This window comes from Homo sapiens, chromosome 1 (genome assembly GCF_000001405.40).
Source record: "Homo sapiens chromosome 1, GRCh38.p14 Primary Assembly".
Classification (NCBI taxonomy): Eukaryota; Metazoa; Chordata; class Mammalia; order Primates; family Hominidae; genus Homo; species Homo sapiens.
The window spans coordinates 182,203-207,666 of NC_000001.11; the positions used below are offsets into that span (position 1 = coordinate 182,203).

Consider the following 25,464-nt stretch of genomic DNA (forward strand, 5'->3'; position numbering starts at 1 on the left):
AGATTCTTATTAGTGATTTGGGCTGGGGCCTGGCCATGTGTATTTTTTTAAATTTCCACTGATGATTTTGCTGCATGGCCGGTGTTGAGAATGACTGCGCAAATTTGCCGGATTTCCTTTGCTGTTCCTGCATGTAGTTTAAACGAGATTGCCAGCACCGGGTATCATTCACCATTTTTCTTTTCGTTAACTTGCCGTCAGCCTTTTCTTTGACCTCTTCTTTCTGTTCATGTGTATTTGCTGTCTCTTAGCCCAGACTTCCCGTGTCCTTTCCACCGGGCCTTTGAGAGGTCACAGGGTCTTGATGCTGTGGTCTTCATCTGCAGGTGTCTGACTTCCAGCAACTGCTGGCCTGTGCCAGGGTGCAAGCTGAGCACTGGAGTGGAGTTTTCCTGTGGAGAGGAGCCATGCCTAGAGTGGGATGGGCCATTGTTCATCTTCTGGCCCCTGTTGTCTGCATGTAACTTAATACCACAACCAGGCATAGGGGAAAGATTGGAGGAAAGATGAGTGACAGCATCAACTTCTCTCACAACCTAGGCCAGTAAGTAGTGCTTGTGCTCATCTCCTTGGCTGTGATACATGGCCAGCCCTCGCTCCAGCAGCTGGACCCCTACCTGCCGTCTGCTGCCATCGGAGCCCAAAGCCGGGCTGTGACTGCTCAGACCAGCCGGCTGGAGGGAGGGGCTCAGCAGGTCTACCTTTGGCCCTGGGAGAGCAGGTGGAAGATCAGGCAGGCCATCGCTGCCACAGAACCCAGTGGATTGGCCTAGGTGGGATCTCTGAGCTCAACAAGCCCTCTCTGGGTGGTAGGTGCAGAGACGGGAGGGGCAGAGCCGCAGGCACAGCCAAGAGGGCTGAAGAAATGGTAGAACGGAGCAGCTGGTGATGTGTGGGCCCACCGGCCCCAGGCTCCTGTCTCCCCCCAGGTGTGTGGTGATGCCAGGCATGCCCTTCCCCAGCATCAGGTCTCCAGAGCTGCAGAAGACGACGGCCGACTTGGATCACACTCTTGTGAGTGTCCCCAGTGTTGCAGAGGTGAGAGGAGAGTAGACAGTGAGTGGGAGTGGCGTCGCCCCTAGGGCTCTACGGGGCCGGCATCTCCTGTCTCCTGGAGAGGCTTCGATGCCCCTCCACACCCTCTTGATCTTCCCTGTGATGTCATCTGGAGCCCTGCTGCTTGCGGTGGCCTATAAAGCCTCCTAGTCTGGCTCCAAGGCCTGGCAGAGTCTTTCCCAGGGAAAGCTACAAGCAGCAAACAGTCTGCATGGGTCATCCCCTTCACTCCCAGCTCAGAGCCCAGGCCAGGGGCCCCCAAGAAAGGCTCTGGTGGAGAACCTGTGCATGAAGGCTGTCAACCAGTCCATAGGCAAGCCTGGCTGCCTCCAGCTGGGTCGACAGACAGGGGCTGGAGAAGGGGAGAAGAGGAAAGGGGGGTTGCCTGCCCTGTCTCCTACCTGAGGCTGAGGAAGGAGAAGGGGATGCACTGTTGGGGAGGCAGCTGTAACTCAAAGCCTTAGCCTCTGTTCCCACGAAGGCAGGGCCATCAGGCACCAAAGGGATTCTGCCAGCATAGTGCTCCTGGACCAGTGATACACCCGGCACCCTGTCCTGGACATGCTGTTGGCCTGGATCTGAGCCCTCGTGGAGGTCAAAGCCACCTTTGGTTCTGCCATTGCTGCTGTGTGGAAGTTCACTCCTGCCTTTTCCTTTCCCTAGAGCCTCCACCACCCCGAGATCACATTTCTCACTGCCTTTTGTCTGCCCAGTTTCACCAGAAGTAGGCCTCTTCCTGACAGGCAGCTGCACCACTGCCTGGCGCTGTGCCCTTCCTTTGCTCTGCCCGCTGGAGACGGTGTTTGTCATGGGCCTGGTCTGCAGGGATCCTGCTACAAAGGTGAAACCCAGGAGAGTGTGGAGTCCAGAGTGTTGCCAGGACCCAGGCACAGGCATTAGTGCCCGTTGGAGAAAACGGGAATCCCGAAGAAATGGTGGGTCCTGGCCATCCGTGAGATCTTCCCAGGGCAGCTCCCCTCTGTGGAATCCAATCTGTCTTCCATCCTGCGTGGCCGAGGGCCAGGCTTCTCACTGGGCCTCTGCAGGAGGCTGCCATTTGTCCTGCCCACCTTCTTAGAAGCGAGACGGAGCAGACCCATCTGCTACTGCCCTTTCTATAATAACTAAAGTTAGCTGCCCTGGACTATTCACCCCCTAGTCTCAATTTAAGAAGATCCCCATGGCCACAGGGCCCCTGCCTGGGGGCTTGTCACCTCCCCACCTTCTTCCTGAGTCACTCCTGCAGCCTTGCTCCCTAACCTGCCCCACAGCCTTGCCTGGATTTCTATCTCCCTGGCTTGGTGCCAGTTCCTCCAAGTCGATGGCACCTCCCTCCCTCTCAACCACTTGAGCAAACTCCAAGACATCTTCTACCCCAACACCAGCAATTGTGCCAAGGGCCATTAGGCTCTCAGCATGACTATTTTTAGAGACCCCGTGTCTGTCACTGAAACCTTTTTTGTGGGAGACTATTCCTCCCATCTGCAACAGCTGCCCCTGCTGACTGCCCTTCTCTCCTCCCTCTCATCCCAGAGAAACAGGTCAGCTGGGAGCTTCTGCCCCCACTGCCTAGGGACCAACAGGGGCAGGAGGCAGTCACTGACCCCGAGACGTTTGCATCCTGCACAGCTAGAGATCCTTTATTAAAAGCACACTGTTGGTTTCTGCTCAGTTCTTTATTGATTGGTGTGCCGTTTTCTCTGGAAGCCTCTTAAGAGAAGAACACAGTGGCGCAGGCTGGGTGGAGCCGTCCCCCCATGGAGCACAGGCAGACAAAAGTCCCCGCCCCAGCTGTGTGGCCTCAAGCCAGCCTTCCGCTCCTTGAAGCTGGTCTCCACACAGTGCTGGTTCCGTCACCCCCTCCCAAGGAAGTAGGTCTGAGCAGCTTGTCCTGGCTGTGTCCATGTCAGAGCAACGGCCCAAGTCTGGGTCTGGGGGGGAAGGTGTCATGGAGCCCCCTAGGATTCCCAGTCGTCCTCGTCCTCCTCTGCCTGTGGCTGCTGCGGTGGCGGCAGAGGAGGGATGGAGTCTGACACGCGGGCAAAGGCTCCTCCGGGCCCCTCACCAGCCCCAGGTCCTTTCCCAGAGATGCCTGGAGGGAAAAGGCTGAGTGAGGGTGGTTGGTGGGAAACCCTGGTTCCCCCAGCCCCCGGAGACTTAAATACAGGAAGAAAAAGGCAGGACAGAATTACAAGGTGCTGGCCCAGGGCGGGCAGCGGCCCTGCCTCCTACCCTTGCGCCTCATGACCAGCTTGTTGAAGAGATCCGACATCAAGTGCCCACCTTGGCTCGTGGCTCTCACTGCAACGGGAAAGCCACAGACTGGGGTGAAGAGTTCAGTCACATGCGACCGGTGACTCCCTGTCCCCACCCCCATGACACTCCCCAGCCCTCCAAGGCCACTGTGTTTCCCAGTTAGCTCAGAGCCTCAGTCGATCCCTGACCCAGCACCAGGCACTGATGAGACAGCGGCGGTTTGAGGAGCCACCTCCCAGCCACCTCGGGGCCAGGGCCAGGGTGTGCAGCACCACTGTACGATGGGGAAACTGGCCCAGAGAGGTGAGGCAGCTTGCCTGGGGTCACAGAGCAAGGCAAAAGCAGCGCTGGGTACAAGCTCAAAACCATAGTGCCCAGGGCACTGCCGCTGCAGGCGCAGGCATCGCATCACACCAGTGTCTGCGTTCACAGCAGGCATCATCAGTAGCCTCCAGAGGCCTCAGGTCCAGTCTCTAAAAATATCTCAGGAGGCTGCAGTGGCTGACCATTGCCTTGGACCGCTCTTGGCAGTCGAAGAAGATTCTCCTGTCAGTTTGAGCTGGGTGAGCTTAGAGAGGAAAGCTCCACTATGGCTCCCAAACCAGGAAGGAGCCATAGCCCAGGCAGGAGGGCTGAGGACCTCTGGTGGCGGCCCAGGGCTTCCAGCATGTGCCCTAGGGGAAGCAGGGGCCAGTTGGCAAGAGCAGGGGGTGGGCAGAAAGCACCCGGTGGACTCAGGGCTGGAGGGGAGGAGGCGATCTTGCCCAAGGCCCTCCGACTGCAAGCTCCAGGGCCCGCTCACCTTGCTCCTGCTCCTTCTGCTTCTTCTTCTCCAGCTTTCGCTCCTTCATGCTGCGCAGCTTGGCCTTGCCGATGCCCCCAGCTTGGCGGATGGACTCTAGCAGAGTGGCCCGGCCACCGGAGGGGTCGACCACTTCCCTGGGAGCTCCCTGGACTGGAGCCAGGAGGTGGGGAACAGGGCAAGGAGGAAAGGCTGCTCAGGCAGGGCTGGGGAAGCTTACTGTGTCCAAGAGCCTGCTGGGAGGGAAGTCACCTCCCCTCAAACGAGGAGCCCCGCGCTGGGGAGGCCGGACCTTTGGAGACTGTGTGGGGGGGCCTGGGCACTGACTTCTGCAACCACCTGAGCGCGGGCATCCTGTGTGCAGATACTCCCTGCTTCCTCTCTAGCCCCCACCCTGCAGAGCTGGACCCCAGAGCTAGCCATGCTCTGACAGTCTCAGTTGCACACATGAGCCAGCAGAGGGGTTTTGTGCCACTTCTGGATGCTAGGGTTACACTGGGAGATACAGCAGTGAAGCTAAAATGAAAAATGTGTTGCTGTAGTTTGTTATTAGACCCCTTCTTTCCATTGGTTTAATTAGGAACGGGGAACCCAGAGCCTCACTTGTTCAGGCTCCCTCTGCCCTAGAAGTGAGAAGTCCAGAGCTCTACAGTTTGAAAACCACTATTTTATGAACCAAGTAGAACAAGATATTTGAAATGGGAACTATTCAAAAAATTGAGAATTTCTGACCACTTAATAAACCCACAGAAAATCCACCCGAGTGCACTGAGCACACCAGAAATCAGGTGGCCTCAAAGAGCTGCTCCCACCTGAAGGAGACGCGCTGCTGCTGCTGTCGTCCTGCCTGGCGCCTTGGCCTACAGGGGCCGCGGTTGAGGGTGGGAGTGGGGGTGCACTGGCCAGCACCTCAGGAGCTGGGGGTGGTGGTGGGGGCGGTGGGGGTGGTGTTAGTACCCCATCTTGTAGGTCTGAAACACAAAGTATGGGGTGTCTAGGGAAGAAGGTGTGTGACCAGGGAGGTCCCCGGCCCAGCTCCCATCCCAGAACCCAGCTCACCTACCTTGAGAGGCTCGGCTACCTCAGTGTGGAAGGTGGGCAGTTCTGGAATGGTGCCAGGGGCAGAGGGGGCAATGCCGGGGCCCAGGTCGGCAATGTACATGAGGTCGTTGGCAATGCCGGACAGGTCAGGCAGGTAGGATGGAACATCAATCTCAGGCACCTGGCCCAGGTCTGGCACATAGAAGTAGTTCTCTGGGACCTGCAAGATTAGGCAGGGACATGTGAGAGGTGACAGGGACCTGCAGGGGCAGCCAACAAGACCTTGTGTGCACCTCCCATGGGTGGAATAAGGGGCCCAACAGCCTTGACTGGAGAGGAGCTCTGGCAAGGCCCTGGGCCACTGCACCTGTCTCCACCTCTGTCCCACCCCTCCCACCTGCTGTTCCAGCTGCTCTCTCTTGCTGATGGACAAGGGGGCATCAAACAGCTTCTCCTCTGTCTCTGCCCCCAGCATCACATGGGTCTTTGTTACAGCACCAGCCAGGGGGTCCAGGAAGACATACTTCTTCTACCTACAGAGGCGACATGGGGGTCAGGCAAGCTGACACCCGCTGTCCTGAGCCCATGTTCCTCTCCCACATCATCAGGGGCACAGCGTGCACTGTGGGGTCCCAGGCCTCCCGAGCCGAGCCACCCCAGTCACCCCCTGGCTCCTGGCCTATGTGCTGTACCTGTGTCTGATGACCTGGGTCCCCACTAAGCCAGGCCGGGCCTCCCGCCCACACCCCTCGGCCCTGCCCTCTGGCCATACAGGTTCTCGGTGGTGTTGAAGAGCAGCAAGGAGCTGACAGAGCTGATGTTGCTGGGAAGACCCCCAAGTCCCTCTTCTGCATCGTCCTCGGGCTCCGGCTTGGTGCTCACGCACACAGGAAAGTCCTTCAGCTTCTCCTGGGAGGGCCAGGATGGCCAAGGGATGGTGAATATTTGGTGCTGGGCCTAATCAGCTGCCATCCCATCCCAGTCAGCCTCCTCTGGGGGACAGAACCCTATGGTGGCCCCGGCTCCTCCCCAGTATCCAGTCCTCCTGGTGTGTGACAGGCTATATGCGCGGCCAGCAGACCTGCAGGGCCCGCTCGTCCAGGGGGCGGTGCTTGCTCTGGATCCTGTGCGGGGGCGTCTCTGCAGGCCAGGGTCCTGGGCGCCCGTGAAGATGGAGCCATATTCCTGCAGGCGCCCTGGAGCAGGGTACTTGGCACTGGAGAACACCTGTGGACACAGGGACAAGTCTGAGGGGGCCCCAAGAGGCTCAGAGGGCTAGGATTGCTTGGCAGGAGAGGGTGGAGTTGGAAGCCTGGGCGAGAAGAAAGCTCAAGGTACAGGTGGGCAGCAGGGCAGAGACTGGGCAGCCTCAGAGGCACGGGGAAATGGAGGGACTGCCCAGTAGCCTCAGGACACAGGGGTATGGGGACTACCTTGATGGCCTTCTTGCTGCCCTTGATCTTCTCAATCTTGGCCTGGGCCAAGGAGACCTTCTCTCCAATGGCCTGCACCTGGCTCCGGCTCTGCTCTACCTGCTGGGAGATCCTGCCATGGAGAAGATCACAGAGGCTGGGCTGCTCCCCACCCTCTGCACACCTCCTGCTTCTAACAGCAGAGCTGCCAGGCCAGGCCCTCAGGCAAGGGCTCTGAAGTCAGGGTCACCTACTTGCCAGGGCCGATCTTGGTGCCATCCAGGGGGCCTCTACAAGGATAATCTGACCTGCAGGGTCGAGGAGTTGACGGTGCTGAGTTCCCTGCACTCTCAGTAGGGACAGGCCCTATGCTGCCACCTGTACATGCTATCTGAAGGACAGCCTCCAGGGCACACAGAGGATGGTATTTACACATGCACACATGGCTACTGATGGGGCAAGCACTTCACAACCCCTCATGATCACGTGCAGCAGACAATGTGGCCTCTGCAGAGGGGGAACGGAGACCGGAGGCTGAGACTGGCAAGGCTGGACCTGAGTGTCGTCACCTAAATTCAGACGGGGAACTGCCCCTGCACATAGTGAACGGCTCACTGAGCAAACCCCGAGTCCCGACCACCGCCTCAGTGTGGTCTAGCTCCTCACCTGCTTCCATCCTCCCTGGTGTGGGGTGGGCCCAGTGATATCAGCTGCCTGCTGTTCCCCAGATGTGCCAAGTGCATTCTTGTGTGCTTGCGTCTCATGGAACGCCATTTCCCCAGACATCCCTGTGGCTGGCTCCTGATGCCCGAGGCCCAAGTGTCTGATGCTTTAAGGCACATCACCCCACTCATGCTTTTCCATGTTCTTTGGCCGCAGCAAGGCCGCTCTCACTGCAAAGTTAACTCTGATGCGTGTGTAACACGACATCCTCCTCCCAGTCGCCCCTGTAGCTCCCCTACCTCCAAGAGCCCAGCCCTTGCCCACAGGGCCACACTCCATGTGCAGAGCAGCCTCAGCATTCACCGGGCACGAGCGAGCCTGTGTGGTGCGCAGGGATGAGAAGGCAGAGGCGCGACTGGGGTTCATGAGGAAGGGCAGGAGGAGGGTGTGGGATGGTGGAGGGGTTTGAGAAGGCAGAGGCGCGACTGGGGTTCATGAGGAAAGGGAGGGGGAGGATGTGGGATGGTGGAGGGGCTGCAGACTCTGGGCTAGGGAAAGCTGGGATGTCTCTAAAGGTTGGAATGAATGGCCTAGAATCCGACCCAATAAGCCAAAGCCACTTCCACCAACGTTAGAAGGCCTTGGCCCCCAGAGAGCCAATTTCACAATCCAGAAGTCCCCGCGCCCTAATGGGTCTGCCCTGATTACTCCTGGCTCCTTGTGTGCAGGGGGCTCAGGCATGGCAGGGCTGGGAGTACCAGCAGGCACTCAAGCGGCTTAAGTGTTCCATGACAGACTGGTATGAAGGTGGCCACAATTCAGAAAGAAAAAAGAAGAGCACCATCTCCTTCCAGTGAGGAAGCGGGGCCACCACCCAGCGTGTGCTCCATCTTTTCTGGCTGGGGAGAGGCCTTCATCTGCTGTAAAGGGTCCTCCAGCACAAGCTGTCTTAATTGACCCTAGTTCCCAGGGCAGCCTCGTTCTGCCTTGGGTGCTGACACGACCTTCGGTAGGTGCATAAGCTCTGCATTCGAGGTCCACAGGGGCAGTGGGAGGGAACTGAGACTGGGGAGGGACAAAGGCTGCTCTGTCCTGGTGCTCCCACAAAGGAGAAGGGCTGATCACTCAAAGTTGCGAACACCAAGCTCAACAATGAGCCCTGGAAAATTTCTGGAATGGATTATTAAACAGAGAGTCTGTAAGCACTTAGAAAAGGCCGCGGTGAGTCCCAGGGGCCAGCACTGCTCGAAATGTACAGCATTTCTCTTTGTAACAGGATTATTAGCCTGCTGTGCCCGGGGAAAACATGCAGCACAGTGCATCTCGAGTCAGCAGGATTTTGACGGCTTCTAACAAAATCTTGTAGACAAGATGGAGCTATGGGGGTTGGAGGACAGAACATATAGGAAAACTCAGAGCCAAATGAACCACAGCCCCAAAGGGCACAGTTGAACAATGGACTGATTCCAGCCTTGCACGGAGGGATCTGGCAGAGTCCATCCAGTTCATTCAACACCTGGTTAGAAAACTGGGGCCAGCACACAGGGGAAGGGTAAGTTGGTTTCATGATCGAATCAAGGCTCAGACAATTTTTAAAGGCCATAGGGTAGACTGCAATCACCAAGATGAAATTTACAAGGAACAAATGTGAAGCCCAACATTTAGGTTTTAAAAATCAAGCGTATAAATACAGAAGGTGGAGGGAACTTGCTTTAGACACAGTTCAGGTGAAGAAAGACCTGGAAACTTCTGTTAACTATAAGCTCAGTAGGGGCTAAAAGCATGTTAATCGGCATAAAAAGGCAATGAGATCTTAGGGTACACAGCTCCCCGCCCCTCTTCTGCCCTTCATCCTTCTTTCAATCAGCAGGGACCGTGCACTCTCTTGGAGCCACCACAGAAAGCAGAGGTGCATCCAGCACCACAGAAAACAGAGCCACCACAGAAAACAGAGGGGTGACTGTCATCCCCTCCAGTCTCTGCACACTCCCAGCTGCAGCAGAGCCGGAGGAGAGAGCACAGCCTGCAATGCTAATTTGCCAGGAGCTCACATGCCTGCGTCACTGGGCACAGACGCCAGTGAGGCCAGAGGCCGGGCTGTACTGGGGCCTGAGCTGCGTGGTGGGGAGAGAGTCTCTCCCCTGCCCCTGTCTCTTCCGTGCAGGAGGAGCATGTTTAAGGGGAAGGGTTCAAAGCTGGTCACATCCCCACCAAAAAAGCCCATGGACAACGAAAAGCCCACTAGCTTGTCCAGTGCCACAGGAGGGGCAAGTGGAGGAGGAGAGGTGGCGGTGCTCCCCACTCCACTGCCAGTCGTCACTGGCTCTCCCTTCCCTTCATCCTCGTTCCCTATCTGTCACCATTTCCTGTCGTCGTTTCCTCTGAATGTCTCACCCTGCCCTCCCTGCTTGCAAGTCCCCTGTCTGCAGCCTCACCCCTGTCGCATCCTGACTACAATAACAGCTTCTGGGTGTCCCCGGCATCCACTCTCTCTCCCTTCTTATCCCTTCCGTGACGGATGCCTGAGGAACCTTCCCCAAACTCTTCTGTCCCATCCCTGCCCTGCTCAAAATCCAATCACAGCTCCCTAACGCTCCTGAATCAACGTGAAGTCCTGTCTTGAGTAATCCGTGGGCCCTAACTCACTCATCCCAACTCTTCACTCACTGCCTTGCCCCACACCCTGCCAGGGAGCCTCCCGTGGCACCGTGGGGACACAAAGGAACCAGGGCAAAGCTCCCTCAGCCCCATTCAAAGAGGCCTGGCCCACAGGCTCACGGAAAGTCAGCCTCTCATGCCCCGAGAGCTGAGTGCAAGGGAGAGGCAGCGCTGTCTGTGCTTCCCATGCAGAAGCTCCCCCCTCCCACCCCTGTGCAGGCCGGCCTTCGCGGCAGACCACCATACACCACGTTCCAAGCCACACTGAGGCCTCCCTCCAAGCCTGCAGCCCCCATTTCCAGACCCCACCAGGGCAACCTGCATATCCACCTCCCTACCCTGCCCCCCTCTTCCAGGAGTCTGCCCTATGTGGAGTAAGCAAGTGGTTTTACTCTTCAGCAACTATTTCCTTTTTACTCAAGCAATGGCCCCATTTCCCTTGGGGAATCCATCTCTCTCGCAGGCTTAGTCCCAGAGCTTCAGGTGGGGCTGCCCACAGAGCTCCTCAGTCTAAGCCAAGTGGTTGTGTCATAGTCCCCTGGCCCCATTAATGGATTCTGGGATAGACATGAGGACCAAGCCAGGTGGGATGGGTGAGTGTGGCTTCTGGAGGAAGTGGGGACACAGGAGAGCATTCTTTCCTGCTGGACCTGACCCTGTGTCGTGTCACCTTGCTACCACGACAGCATGGCCTGTCTGGGAATGCAGCCAGACCCAAAGAAGCAAACTGACATGGAAGAAAAGCAAAACCAGGCCCTGAGGACATCATTTTAGCCCTTACTCCGAAGGCTGCTCTACTGATTGGTTAATTTCTGCTTAGCTTGGTTTGGGGAGTTCTGACAGGCGTGCCACCAATTCTTACCGATTTCTCTCCACTCTAGACCCTGAGAAGCCCACGCGGTTCATGCTAGCAATTAACAATCAATCTCGCCCTATGTGTTCCCATTCCAGCCTCTAGGACACAGTGTCAGCCACATAATTGGTATCTCTTAAGGTCCAGCACGAGGTGGAGCACATGGTGGAGAGACAGATGCATTGACCTGGAACCCAGGAGTGAGGGAGCCAGGACTCAGGCCCAAGGCTCCTGAGAGGCATCTGGCCCTCCCTGCGCTGTGCCAGCAGCTTGGAGAACCCACACTCAATGAACGCAGCACTCCACTACCCAGGAAATGCCTTCCTGCCCTCTCCTCATCCCATCCCTGGGCAGGGGACATGCAACTGTCTACAAGGTGCCAAGTACCAGGACAGGAAAGGAAAGATGCCAAAAATCCAGCGCTGCCCTCAGAGAAGGGCAACCACGCAGTCCCCATCTTGGCAAGGAAACACAATTTCCGAGGGAATGGTTTTGGCCTCCATTCTAAGTGCTGGACATGGGGTGGCCATAATCTGGAGCTGATGGCTCTTAAAGACCTGCATCCTCTTCCCTAGGCGTCCCTCAGGCACATTTAGCACAAAGATAAGCACAAAAGGTGCATCCAGCACTTTGTTACTATTGGTGGCAGGTTCATGAATGGCAACCAAAGGCAGTGTACGGGTCAAGATTATCAACAGGGAAGAGACAGCATTTCCTGAAGGCTTCCTAGGTGCCAGGCACTGTTCCATTCCTTTGCATGTTTTGATTAATTTAATATTTACAATAATTCTACCAGGAAGCTACCATTATTACCACAACTTCACAAATGAGAACACCGAGGCTTAGAGGGGTTGGGTTGCCCAAGGTTACAGAGGAAGAAAACAGGGGAGCTGGATCTGAGCCAAGGCATCAACTCCAAGGTAACCCCTCAGTCACTTCAGTGTGTGTCCCCTGGTTACTGGGACATTCTTGACAAGCTTGGGGCAAGCCGGTGAGTCAGTGGGGGAGGACTTTCAGGAAGAGGTGGGTTCCCAGTTGGTGACAGAAGAGGGGGCTGCAAAGTGAAGGAGCAGGGGCTCCACGTCTGGCGACAACCAGGGAAGGGACAGGGCAGGGATGGCTTGGACCACGAGAGGCACCTGAGTCAGGCAGTCACATACTTCCCGCTGGGGTCTACCATGTGAGGCATGGTGTGGGATCCTGGGAAGGAGACCAAGCCTCATTTCAGTTTGCTTATGGCCAAAGACAGGACCTGTGTACCCGACAACCCCTGGGACCTTTGCCAAAAAAACAGCAAACACCATTCACTCACTCATGTAAGATAAACACTGAGTGAAGTCACTGGAGCCCAAGGACTGTGCGAGGTCAGCGCTGCCAATACAAGAAGCTGCACCCCTCCAGCTCGCCTCCCTCAATGGCCACTCCGTGCTCCAGCCATGCTGGCTTCCTTTTAGGTCCTCCACCTCCAGGCTGTAGTTCATGTGCTTCTTTCTGGAATGTTCTTCCCAACCCACCCACTCAACCCTCAGACTTTACCATAAATGTCATTTCCTCACATCTGCCTTCCCTGACCTGAGACCAAGCCAGGCTTCCCATGACGAGCCTCACAGTACCCCATCTCCCCTGAACAGATGCAGTAATAACCTACGTAACCCGGGGCCATGATCTATGGCTTTGAATCCTGGCTCTGTCACTAGGCCAGGTCTCTCAGCCTTTCTGTGCCTCAGTTTCCTCATCTATAAAATGAGATGACGGCAGTGCCTGCTCATGAAGTGTGAGTTAATGCACTCAAATCAATGGTGGTGCACGGTTTATATGAATATTAGCGATTACAAAATATTATCAATAGACCTTGTCACAACTGTTATTGAAGAACTAATCATCTATTGCTTATTTAGGTCTTTCTCTCCTGCCAGAATGTGCGCTCCAGGTGGAGAGGTATGTTGCCTTATCCATGGCTGGATATATAGAGATTCCCACACTGCCTTGCACACGAGCACTGCTGGGTAAATATTTGTTGGCTGCAGGAAAACGTGAAGGAATAGGCCCTCCAATGGGAGGAAAAGCATGAGTTGTGAGAGCAGAGCCACCACAGGAAACCAGGAGGCTAAGTGGGGTGGAAGGGAGTGAGCTCTCGGACTCCCAGGAGTAAAAGCTTCCAAGTTGGGCTCTCACTTCAGCCCCTCCCACACAGGGAAACCAGATGGGTTCCCCAGGACCAGGATTCCCCAAGGGGGCTGCTCCCAGAGGGTGTGTTGCTGGGATTGCCCAGGACAGGGATGGCCCTCTCATCAGGTGGGGGTGAGTGGCAGCACCCACCTGCTGAAGATGTCTCCAGAGACCTTCTGCAGGTACTGCAGGGCATCCGCCATCTGCTGGACGGCCTCCTCTCGCCGCAGGTCTGGCTGGATGAGGGGCACGGCATAGGTCTGACCTGCCAGGGAGTGCTGCATCCTCACAGGAGTCATGGTGCCTGTGGGTCGGAGCCGGAGCATCAGAGCCACCCACGACCACCGGCACGCCCCCACCACAGGGCAGCGTGGTGTTGAGACAACACAGCCCTCATCCCAACTATGCACATAGCTTCAGCCTGCACAGATAGGGGAGTAGGGGACAGAGCATTTGCTGAGAGGCCAGGAGCGCATAGATGGGACTCTGCTGATGCCTGCTGAGTGAATGAGGGAAAGGGCAGGGCCAGGGACTGGGGAATCTCTAGGGTCAATGGAGGAGTTCAGAGAAGGTGCAACATTTCTGACCCCCTACAAGGTGCTTGCTACCTGCCAGGCACCCTTTCCATACCTTGTCTCAGTTCAGCTCCCCACCTTGGATAAACAAGAAACCTTGGTTGCAGAGGAAAAAAGAGGCTGGAAACAAAGGGGTAGAAATGGGGTAGCGGGGGAGATTGCCTGATCAACTGCCAAATGGTACACAGTTCTGGAAAAGCACAAAAAATGTGCACACACGGGTTCTTCCCACTTTAACCCCTGAGGAATTTGAGGTCTGCTCCTGAAACAGACTGGGCAGTGGCTAGTGACTCTAGGTATAGGAGTATCCAGCCCTGCTCACCCAGGCTAGAGCTTAGGGGGCCAAGAGGAAAGAGGTGCCTGTGGGGGTGGAGGACAGGAAGGAAAAACACTCCTGGAATTGCACAGTGAGGGGAGAGTCTATTTATATTGGGTTTAATTAACTCCTCTCCCTGGTGCCACTACAGCAGCAATCACACTGCAGACAGCACTGATTTGATTGGCAAGAGATGCACCAGGCAGAATATTAAGGGACCAGGCCCCTATAAATAGGCCTAATCACAGCCCCTCGCTGGAAAATGGTAAGGAAGACATTAATCAGGCCTGGCACTATGCCCTAGACCTGCTCCCCTAGGCACTACAGTGGGGCCCTTGGTTGCAACACAAGTAGGTAGGGATGGATGAGTGTGGCATGAAGGGCCTAGGAGATTTCATTTGGGTTTAAAATGCTGTGACCTTGAGTAAGTTGCCGTCTCTGAATCTGATCCTTTCGATTTCCCATTCTCCAAACTGAGAACTAGCACTGCTGAGACGTGGTTATTCCCAATAATAATTTGTATATTTTACATAACATACCACACCGGATTCACCCAGCTGAAGCCTACTCCTTTGCTCCCCCTGCTGGCTTCCCCAGCCCTCCCTTCTGCCCTCCTCAGGCCAGCACTTTTCAGTGAGTTCCTCCTTTGCATACAGGCTTTCCAGATCTGTACTTGCCTAGAATACTCATCAGAGCCCAGGAGTTACTCCTCACCTCGCACTTATTTTTCCTCCCATCAAATAACTAAAGCATGGCCAGCTGATGCCCAGCCAACTGAGAAACCTAACCCTCTGAGACCAGCACACCCCTTTCAAGCATGTTCCTCCCTCCCCTTCTTTGTATTTATACTGATGCAAGTTTGCTGGCTGTCCTAACTTATTTCTGTGCCTCAGTTCTCCCATATGTAAGATCACAAAGGGGGTAAAGATGCAAGATATTTCCTGTGCACATCTTCAGATGAATTTCTTGTTAGTGTGTGTGTGTTTGCTCACACATATGCGTGAAAGAAGAGTACATACACAGATCTCCTCAAAAAGGAGACAGCAAGCCCGTTCAAGAATGGGACTGAATACACCTGATGAGTGGTTTACTTTCTGTCTGCAAACATCTACTGATCATCTGTTAGGTGCAGACCATGATCACAACAAAGACGAATAAGACACTACACTAGCCAGGGAGAGTCTCAAAAACAACTAAACTCAAATTAAATTCATTCTACTCCAGTCATGAGTACAAAGCTAAGGAGTGACAAATCCCTCTTGGAGTTAGGGGAGTCAGGAAAAAGCTCTTAGCAGAATGTGTGCCTCTCGGCCGGGCGCAGCGGCTCACGCCTGTAATCCCAGCACTTTGGGAGGCGAAGGCAGGCAGATCACCTGAGGTCGGGAGTTCGAGACCAGTCTGACCAACATGGTGAAACTCCATCTCTACTAAAAATACAAAATTAGCCAGGCGTGGTGGTGCATGCCTGTAATCCCCGCTACTCGGGAGGCTGAGGAAGGAGAATCACTTGAACCAGGGAGGTGGAGGTTGCAGTGTGCCAAGATCGCGCCATGGCACTCCAGCCTAGGCAACAAGGGTGAACCAGGTCCAGGAAGAAGGTGCAAAGACAGCATTCCAGGTAAAAGAAACAGCTTGAACAAAAAGTGTGTAGGGGAACCGCAAGCGGTCTTGAGTGCTGAGGGTACAATCATCCTTGGGGAAGTACTAGAAGAAAGAATGATAAACAGAGGCCAGTTTGTTAAAAACACTCAAAATTAAAGCTAGGAGTTTGGACTTGTGGCAGGAATGAAATCCTTAGACCTGTGCTGTCCAATATGGTAGCCACCAGGCACATGCAGCCACTGAGCACTTGAAATGTGGATAGTCTGAATTGAGATGTGCCATAAGTGTAAAATATGCACCAAATTTCAAAGACTAGAAAAAAAGAATGTAAAATATCTTATTATTTTATATTGATTACATGCTAAAATAACCATATTTGGGATATACTGGATTTTAAAAATATATCACTAATTTCATCTGTTTCTTTTTACTTTTAGAAATCACATATGTGACTTAAATATTTCTTTTCTTTTTCTTTCCTCTCACTCAGCGTCCTGTGATTCCAAAGAAATGAGTCTCTGCTGTTTTTGGGCAGCAGATATCCTAGAATGGACTCTGACCTAAGCATCAAAATTAATCATCATAACGTTATCATTTTATGGCCCCTTCTTCCTATATCTGGTAGCTTTTAAATGATGACCATGTAGATAATCTTTATTGTCCCTCTTTCAGCAGACGGTATTTTCTTATGCTACAGTATGACTGCTAATAATACCTACACATGTTAGAACCATTCTGACTCCTCAAGAATCTCATTTAACTCTTATTATCAGTGAATTTATCATCATCCCCTATTTTACATAAGGAAATGGGGTTAGAAAGACCAAATAACATTTTTTCAACATCAAAACACTAGCTTGAGATCAAGCCCAGACTTGGATCTGTCGTCTGAATTCCAAGCTTTTTGTTATTGATATGTTTTGTTGTTTTCATGCAATAATGCAAATCTTAGCCCAAACATTTTGTTAGTAGTACCAACTGTAAGTCACCTTATCTTCATACTTTGTCTTTATGTAAACCTAAATTAGATCTGTTTTTGATACTGAGGGAAAAACAAGGGAATCTAACACTAACCAGCCCGTAGTGTGTGGTCAACACTTTCGTTACTTTAGTATACATCACCCCAATTGTTTGTCTTCACCACACACTTTGGAGTTAGGTAGTAGTATCTATTTTTACAAATAAGAAAACCCAGGCACAAAGGGGTTGATTAGCAATTATCTTTTGAAAAGCCTGTAGTTGCTCATCTGAAGAAGTGACGGACCACCTCTTATTTAGTGGACAGACAGTAACTAGTTGAGAAGACAGGGGATTTTGTTGGCGGAAAAAAAATTTTATCAAAAGTCGTCTTCTATCAGGGAGTTTTATGAGAAACCCTAGCTCCTCAGTTCCACAGTGGGTAACTGTAATTCATTCTAGGTCTGCGATATTTCCTGCCTATCCATTTTGTTAACTCTTCAATGCATTCCACAAATACCTAAGTATTATTTAATAATGGTGGGTTTTTTTTTTTTGCATCTATGAAGTTTTTTCAAATTCTTTTTAAGTGACAAAACTTGTACATGTGTATCGCACAATATTTCTAGTCGACAGCACTGCTTTACAGAATGTAAACCGTGCACTCCCAGGAAAATGCAGACACAGCACGCCTCTTTGGGACCGCGGTTTATACTTTCGAAGTGCTCGGAGCCCTTCCTCCAGACCGTTCTCCCACACCCCGCTCCAGGGTCTCTCCCGGAGTTACAGGCCTCGCTGTAGGCCCCGGGAACCCAACGCGGTGTCAGAGAAGTGGGGTCCCCTACGAGGGACCAGGAGCTCCGGGCGGGCAGCAGCTGCGGAAGAGCCGCGCGAGGCTTCCCAGAACCCGGCCGGGGCGGGAAGACGCAGAAGTGGGGAGGCGGAACCGGGACCCCGCAGAGCCCGGGTCCCTGCGCCCCACAAGCCTTGGCTTCCCTGCTAGGGCCGGGCAAGGCCGGGTGCAGGGCGCGGCTCCAGGGAGGAAGCTCCGGGGCGAGCCCAAGACGCCTCCCGGGCGGTCGGGGCCCAGCGGCGGCGTTCGCAGTGGAGCCGGGCACCGGGCAGCGGCCGCGGAACACCAGCTTGGCGCAGGCTTCTCGGTCAGGAACGGTCCCGGGCCTCCCGCCCGCCTCCCTCCAGCCCCTCCGGGTCCCCTACTTCGCCCCGCCAGGCCCCCACGACCCTACTTCCCGCGGCCCCGGACGCCTCCTCACCTGCGAGCCGCCCTCCCGGAAGCTCCCGCCGCCGCTTCCGCTCTGCCGGAGCCGCTGGGTCCTAGCCCCGCCGCCCACAGTCCGCCCGCGCCTCCGGGTCCTAACGCCGCCGCTCGCCCTCCGCTGCGCCCTCCCCGAGCGCGGCTCCAGGACCCCGTCGACCCGGAGCGCTGTCCTGTCGGGCCGAGTCGCGGGCCTGGGCACGGAACTCACGCTCACTCCGAGCTCCCGACGTGCACACGGCTCCCATGCGTTGTCTTCCGAGCGTCAGGCCGCCCCTACCCGTGCTTTCTGCTCTGCAGACCCTCTTCCCAGACCTCCGTCCTTTGTCCCATCGCTGCCTTCCCCTCAAGCTCAGGGCCAAGCTGTCCGCCAGCCTCGGCTCCTCCGGGCAGCCCTTGCCCGGGGTGCGCCCCGGGGCAGGACCCCCAGCCCAGGCCCAGGGCCCGCCCCTGCCCTCCAGCCCTACGCCTTGACCCGCTTTCCTGCGTCTCTCAGCCTACCTGACCTTGTCTTTACCTCTGTGGGCAGCTCCCTTGTGATCTGCTTAGTTCCCACCCCCCTTTAAGAATTAAATAGAGAAGCCAGACGCAAAACTACAGATATCGTATGAGTCCAGTTTTGTGAAGTGCCTAGAATAGTCAAAATTCACAGAGACAGAAGCAGTGGTCGCCAGGAATGGGGAAGCAAGGCGGAGTTGGGCAGCTCGTGTTCAATGGGTAGAGTTTCAGGCTGGGGTGATGGAAGGGTGCTGGAAATGAGTGGTAGTGATGGCGGCACAACGGTGTGAATCTACTTAATCCCACTGAACTGTATGCTGAAAAATGGTTTAGACGGTGAATTTTAGGTTATGTATGTTTTACCACAGTTTTTAAAAAGCTAGTGAAAAGCTGGTAAAAAGAAAGAAAAGAGGCTTTTTTAAAAAGTTAAATATATAAAAAGAGCATCATCAGTCAAGTCCAGCAGTTGTCCCTCCTGGAATCCGTTGGCTTGCCTCCGGCATTTTTGGCCCTTGCCTTTTAGGGTTGCCAGATTAAAAGACAGGATGCCCAGCTAGTTTGAATTTTAGATAAACAACGAATAATTTCGTAGCGTAAATATGTCCCAAGCTTAGTTTGGGACATACTTATGCTAAAAAACATTATTGGTTGTTTATCTGAGATTCAGAATTAAGCATTTTATATTTTATTTGCTGCCTCTGGCCACCCTACTCTCTTCCTAACACTCTCTCCCTCTCCCAGTTTTGTCCGCCTTCCCTGCCTCCTCTTCTGGGGGAGTTAGATCGAGTTGTAACAAGAACATGCCACTGTCTCGCTGGCTGCAGCGGGTGGTCCCCTTACCAGAGGTAAAGAAGAGATGGATCTCCACTCATGTTGTAGACAGAATGTTTATGTCCTCTCCAAATGCTTATGTTGAAACCCTAACCCCTAATGTGATGGTATGTGGAGATGGGCCTTTGGTAGGTAATTACGGTTAGATGAGGTCATGGGGTGGGGCCCTCATTATAGATCTGGTAAGAAAAGAGAGCATTGTCTCTGTGTCTCCCTCTCTCTCTCTCTCTCTCTCTCTCTCTCTCATTTCTCTCTATCTCATTTCTCTCTCTCTCTCTATCTCATTTTTCTCTCTCTCTCTTTCTCTCCTCTGTCTTTTCCCACCAAGTGAGGATGCGAAGAGAAGGTGGCTGTCTGCAAACCAGGAAGAGAGCCCTCACCGGGAACCCGTCCAGCTGCCACCTTGAACTTGGACTTCCAAGCCTCCAGAACTGTGAGGGATAAATGTATGATTTTAAAGTCGCCCAGTGTGTGGTATTTTGTTTTGACTAATACAACCTGAAAACATTTTCCCCTCACTCCACCTGAGCAATATCTGAGTGGCTTAAGGTACTCAGGACACAACAAAGGAGAAATGTCCCATGCACAAGGTGCACCCATGCCTGGGTAAAGCAGCCTGGCACAGAGGGAAGCACACAGGCTCAGGGCTCTGCTATTCATTCTTTGTGTGACCCTGGGCAAGCCATGAATGGAGCTTCAGTCACCCCATTTGTAATGGGATTTAATTGTGCTTGCCCTGCCTCCTTTTGAGGGCTGTAGAGAAAAGATGTCAAAGTATTTTGTAATCTGGCTGGGCGTGGTGGCTCATGCCTGTAATCCCAGCACTTTGGTAGGCTGACGCGAGAGGACTGCTTGAGCCCAAGAGTTTGAGATCAGCCTGGGCAATATTGTGAGATTCCATCTCTACAAAAATAAAATAAAATAGCCAGTCATGGTGTCACACACCTGTAGTCCCAGCTACATGGGAGGCTGAGGTGGGAGGATCACTTGAGCTTGGGAGATCGAGGCTGCAGTGAGCTATGATTGTACCACTGCACTCCAGGCTGGGCGACAGAGAGAGACCCTGTCTCAGAAAAAAAAAAAAAGTACTTGGTAATCTGTAAGGTTTATTTCAACACACACAAAAAAAGTGTATATGCTCCACGATGCCTGTGAATATACACACACACCACATCATATACCAAGCCTGGCTGTGTCTTCTCACAAATGCACTGCTAGGCACCACCCCCAGTTCTAGAATCACACCAGCCAGTTCACCCTCCAGATGGTTCACCCTCAACTTCATAAAAGTTCCCTACCTAATCTACTGACAGGCGCATCCCCGACCTTATTTTAAAGATTTCCTAGGAGCTGCAATGGGAATCCTGGACCTCAGCCTGGACAAAGAACAGCTGCAGGTCATTCTCATGTGTGGACACGGAAGCCCTGCCTGCCTTTGCTGGCCAGCTGGGCTGAGTGGGCCTGGGAAATTAAGGCTGCAGGGTTGGTCCCAGGCAGTCTTGCTGAAGCTTGCCACATCCCCCAGCCTCCTGGATTTGCCAGGATCCAAGAGCATGGACTTTAGGAATTCCTGGTGGAGGAGTGAAGAAAATGTGACAGGGTGTCCTAAGCCCCGATCTACAGGAAGAAAACTGGAAATAAGACTGAGGACTTAGTTTAAGATGTTCCTACTCAGCCTCTAGCTTTTGTGCTACAGTTCCGGGAACAGACTCCTCTCTCCTGAAAACCACTTCCCTCCGCAGCATTAAATTTCACCAAGATGTCTTGCTTGTGGGAAAGACTTCCAAGGATGCCTGGAGAGAGGAGGATGGAAATGTCCTGCTCTCTAAACAGATAGACAGATGCAGCCAGACAGAAAATAGTTTATCTTGCTGAGGTTTCTAATGTATTTGAAAGAGGCCTGGGTCTAGAAGTCTACCCAGAGGGCTCTGTGTTGTGCACGCAAAGATAAGAACCTTCCCTGTGGGAGTTCCAGAGCCAGTTTTCATAAACACCCATCGGTGACTGTGTTCAGAGTGAGTTCACACCATCCTGACCTGCCCTGAGTTAGACCTTACATGGTCTTCCTCCTCTAGGAAGCCTCTGCAGCCCAGGAACCTCCCCTTATCTGAAATGAACAGCATTTGAAGCTTCACCAGACAGACCAGACAGCTTGGCCCTCGTGTTGTGCTATGTGGGTTGTTCTCTGAGAGGCAGGAGAGCATAGTGGTTACTAGGAAGGGAAGGACTTTGGGACTAGACTGCCTCGGCTGGAGTCCTCTTTCTGCTTCATAGCCACGTGATCCTAGGCATGTTACCTGTGCCTCAGTTTTCACTCTATCAATATGTAATAACTGCATCTGTCTTTGTGGTGAGGATTCAGTGAGTTAACATATTTGAAGTGCTTAAAAATGAGGCTTGTGTCCATAGATTAATGAGTGAATACACAAATGGTGATATGGACATACAGTGGAGTATTAGTCATAAAAAGGAAGGCAGAGCTGATCCATGGCACCATGTGACTGAACCTCAAAAGCATTAGGTTAAGTGGAAGAAGCCAGACACAGGTCACCTATTGTGTAATTCCATTTATAGGAAATATACAGAATATGTAAATCCGTGGAGAAAGAAAGCCGATTTCCAGGGGCTAAGGGGAGGGGAGAATGGGAAGTGGCTGCTTCATGGGTACAAGGTTTCATTTTGAGCTGATGAAAATGTTTTGGAACTACATAGAGATAGTGTTGGCACAACATGGTGAATGTACTGAATGCCACTGATTGTTCACTTTAAAATGGTCAAACTTATGTGAATTTCACCTCCATTAAAAAAAAAAAAAGGACCAGACGTGGTTGCTCACACCCATAATCCCAACACTTTGGAAAAAGGTGAAAGTTTTTTTTCTTTTTTTTTTATATACTTAAGTTCTAGGGTACATGTGCATAATGTGCAGGTTGGATACATAGATATGAGTGTGCCATGTTGGTTTGCTGCACCCATCAACTTGTCATTTACATTAGGTATTTCTTCTAATGCTATCCCTCCCCCAGCCCCCCACCCACTGACAGGCCCCAGTGTATGATGTTCTCTGCCCCATGTCCAAGCGTTCTCATTGTTCAATTCCCACCTGTGAGTGAGAACATGCAGTGTTTGGTTTTCTGTCTTTGTGATAGTTTGCTCAGAATGATGGTTTCCAGCTTCATCCATGTCCCTGCAAAGGACATGAACTCATCCTTTTTAATGGCTGCATGGTATCCCATGGTATATATGTGCCACATTCTCTTAATCCAGTCTGTCATTGATGGACATTTGGGTTGGTTCAAAGTCTTTGCTATTGTGAATACTGCCACAATAAACATACATGTGCATGTGTCTTTATAGTAGCACGATTTATAATCCTTTGGGTATATACCCTAAGACCTGGGACGCATTTAAAGCAGTGTGTAAAGAGACATTTATAGCACTAAATGCCCACAAGAGACCTCTGCCTGAGAACGTGGGTTTCAGCCTAAGAGTTGTAATATGTGTGCCCATTCACAGGTGCTGCATCAGAGTCCCAGGTGGGAAGAAGGCAAGCATACACAAAAATGGTAAAAGGCAGAAAGGAGCCCAGTCTCGTTCTTTTTAAGAAGTTTTCCTAAGAATCTCCACCCAGCGACTTGCTCTCACATCTTCTTGGCCAGCACTGGACCACACAACTTCTTCTAGATACAGAGGAGTCCTAGGATTCTATGAGAAAGAAGGGGAGGGTGGGCAAAGGGCAGCCAGCTGTGCAGCATCTGCTGGAGACACCTAACCCTTGGTGGAGGGGTTGTGGTGCTGGGAGAAGGCTTTCTGGACGGTGTGACAGCAGAGATAAACTTAAAGGCCAAGTAGGAGTTACCCTGGTGAAGCAGGGCAGGGTTACAAGCATTCCAGCAACTTGAAGCAGCAGGAGTGTTTTAATTAAAAGAAGGCAGTTGCTGTAACCAACTATAAACAAATAAAGGCTTAAACACAATGGAAGTTTATTTCTCACTAAGGGAACATCCAAATCCATGATACTTTAAGTCAGGGACCCAGGTTCCTCCCATCTATGGTTCTGCCATCACTAATCTGGGTCTTCCACAATTGCCGTGCTCCTTGGAGGTGGGAAGAGCAGGCGGAGGACACGTGGGAGGTTTTAGAGACAAGCCTGGAGGCAGCATGCGTCACTCCCATGCAGAGTCCATTGGCCAATGCTGGCTCCGATGGCCACATCTCACTGCAGGGGCAGCTGGGAAATACAGTCTGGCTGTCTACCCAGGAGGAAGAGCAGCCAGTTTCTGCTGCTGATGATCAGGAGGTAGAGAAAATGTTCAGTCGGGCAGGGAGTGGGAATAGACAAGACCACAAGCAGCTTGGTGCCTCTGAAAGGGAGAGGGGTGGAGGGGAGACTAGAGAGGTGGGTAGGAATACTGGATTCCACTGACCACATGCTGGATGTCACGCTTAGCCCTCCTGCTCTGTGCCGGGTTAGGCACCTGGTGTTTTACGTACATAATCTCAATTCTGTGAGGGCATCCGACCTGTGGGAAAAGAGCTGTTTGTTTCAAATGCTACTCCTGCTTCCTAACAAGTGTTTAGAGCTTAATCGTGTTCAAAATACATATACAATGTTTAATACTTACAAGAATTTGGCGGGGAAAATATTACCATCTTTCCCTTTTATGATTGGAGAAAAATGAGGCTTTGAAGGGTTTAAGAACTTGCCCAAGGTTGGCCAGGTGCAGTGGCTCATGTCTATAATCCCAACACTTTGGGAGGCTAAGGTGGGAGGATCGCTTGAGGCCAGGAGTTCAAGACCAGCCTGAGCAACATAGTGAGACTTTGTCTCTATAAAAAATAAATAAATAAATAAAAAGAACTTGTCCAAGGTCAGACAGGCAGCCTCTTAGTAAGCACACATATCTTCTATATTATACTACCTCTCATGGAGGATCTCCTGTGTTCTACAAATAGTCTGGACTTGAGCCAGAATGTGTTATAATCCTGGGATCACAGCCAGTGGGCTTAGAAGAAGCCATCTCTTTCTCATGCCAAGATGAGGCTCCCCCAGATTTGCTCAGACTTACCTATAGTCAGCAGCATCGGGGGTCAGGAAAGACTTCATGAAGCCATAAATGCATCCTTCTCGGGGCAGCACCTGGCTCTCCCAGGTGAGAGAGGAATCCATTTTCACAGGCAGGTGTGGGAGCTTCAGCACCCATCTCTGGGCCCAGAATGACCCACTGGAGACCTTACAGCTCTCCTGTCACCCCCAATTCCTGCCCCCTCTGCAGCCTTGGAGGAGAATGGAGCTGAAGGGCCTGCCCTCTGTAGGGTGAGAAAGGGAGGCTAAAGCCTGGTGCCCACTGCCCTGGCTGCTCCGCATTGCAGGAGCTGCGCCCTTCCTTTCCTGGCACAGGGTCCACAGCCCCGAAACCCCGTTGTGTGGGAGCTGGGCACAGGGCAGCAGGACTAATCCTTGGAACAGCTCAGGGAGGATTATCCCAGCCACTGTCAGCAGCGGTGCAGCTGGCTCATTCCCATATAGGGGGAGGCCAGAGCCAGGGGCCTGCCACAAGTTGGAAGGCTGGGGAAGGGGAGGCCAGCAGAGGTGTCCTGGCTGTGGGTGGCTCTGAGGGGGCTCTCAGGGGTGGGGCTAAATCTCAGGGGCAGGATTATGTAAATCAAACCAATTCTAGCCACAGATTTAAAGTTTGGAAAAAAAAAAAAAAAACCCAGCCTGGCGGAAAGAATTTAAATTATAAAAACTTAGAAGTATGGAATGTGAAATCATCCTGTAGGTGCTTATTTAACAACGAAATCATCCCGACACAATGAGCCATATGTGAAAAGTCCTCCTTCCCCAACACATCCCCCAACAGGCACTCCTCAAACCTCTACCACCCAAGTGCTGGCATCCTCCCTGTCCTGCTTCACCTGAGACACCCCTTGTCTCATTAGACATGCAACTACGGGAGGGGTGACAGGAAGACAAGACACTATTTCCTCAGGCCCAGTTTGGTGTGGGGAGAAAGCCTCCTGATCCTGAAAGCAAGAATTTGACCAGAGCAGAAGTAATCAGTATGCAGATTGACTCTGTGGTATGTTAATGTTTATGCATAGATTATGAGGACTAGATGAAAAGTGGGCCAGGGGAGACAGATGTGTGTGTGAGTCATGGGTGGCTGAGATGGGGACAGGAGGGAAACTGGTTCGGAGGCTGCTGGCGATGGGATGGGGGTGCCAGGAGGAAGGGAGGCAGTTGTTTGAATGTCTGCATGAAAAAGCAGAGGACGGCGGGGTCTGGGTGAATTCGGGCAACCATTTGGACGGTGGAGAAAACTGCCTGCGTGCGGCTGAGGACCTGAACTATTAATTTGTTTTTTAGCTAATGCAAAGATAAATATAAAAACTGATACTCCATCCAGTTACCAGAAAACATTTAGGTATGTGTGAGACAACTTGGGTATGTGAACCTACCTTTTCAATGTAAATTCAGTGAAATCTAAGTACAGAT

The 25,464-nt window shown here is 52.6% G+C and overlaps 1 non-coding gene and 2 pseudogenes across 3 annotated transcripts; 1 reads left to right on the forward strand and 2 right to left on the reverse strand.

Annotated features, from left to right (window-relative positions):
- Positions 1 to 185: 185 nt before the first annotated feature.
- DDX11L17 (DEAD/H-box helicase 11 like 17 (pseudogene)) lies at positions 186 to 2,676 on the forward strand (annotated as a pseudogene). The gene is made up of 3 exons (NR_148357.1): positions 186 to 544; positions 930 to 1,038; positions 1,538 to 2,676. The product of NR_148357.1 is annotated as a DEAD/H-box helicase 11 like 17 (pseudogene) (transcript).
- A 37-nt stretch (positions 2,677 to 2,713) lies between these two features.
- WASH9P (WAS protein family homolog 9, pseudogene) lies at positions 2,714 to 17,673 on the reverse strand (annotated as a pseudogene). The gene is made up of 11 exons (NR_186787.1): positions 17,635 to 17,673; positions 13,061 to 13,214; positions 6,589 to 6,700; positions 6,237 to 6,382; positions 5,928 to 6,064; positions 5,553 to 5,688; positions 5,178 to 5,375; positions 4,927 to 5,085; positions 4,115 to 4,267; positions 3,289 to 3,357; positions 2,714 to 3,148 (listed from the first exon to the last, which is right to left on the reverse strand). The product of NR_186787.1 is annotated as a WAS protein family homolog 9, pseudogene (transcript).
- Positions 5,689 to 5,756, reverse strand: MIR6859-2 (microRNA 6859-2). Its single transcript, NR_107062.1, has one exon. It is a non-coding gene; the product is annotated as a microRNA 6859-2 (primary transcript).
- Positions 17,674 to 25,464: the final 7,791 nt, after the last annotated feature.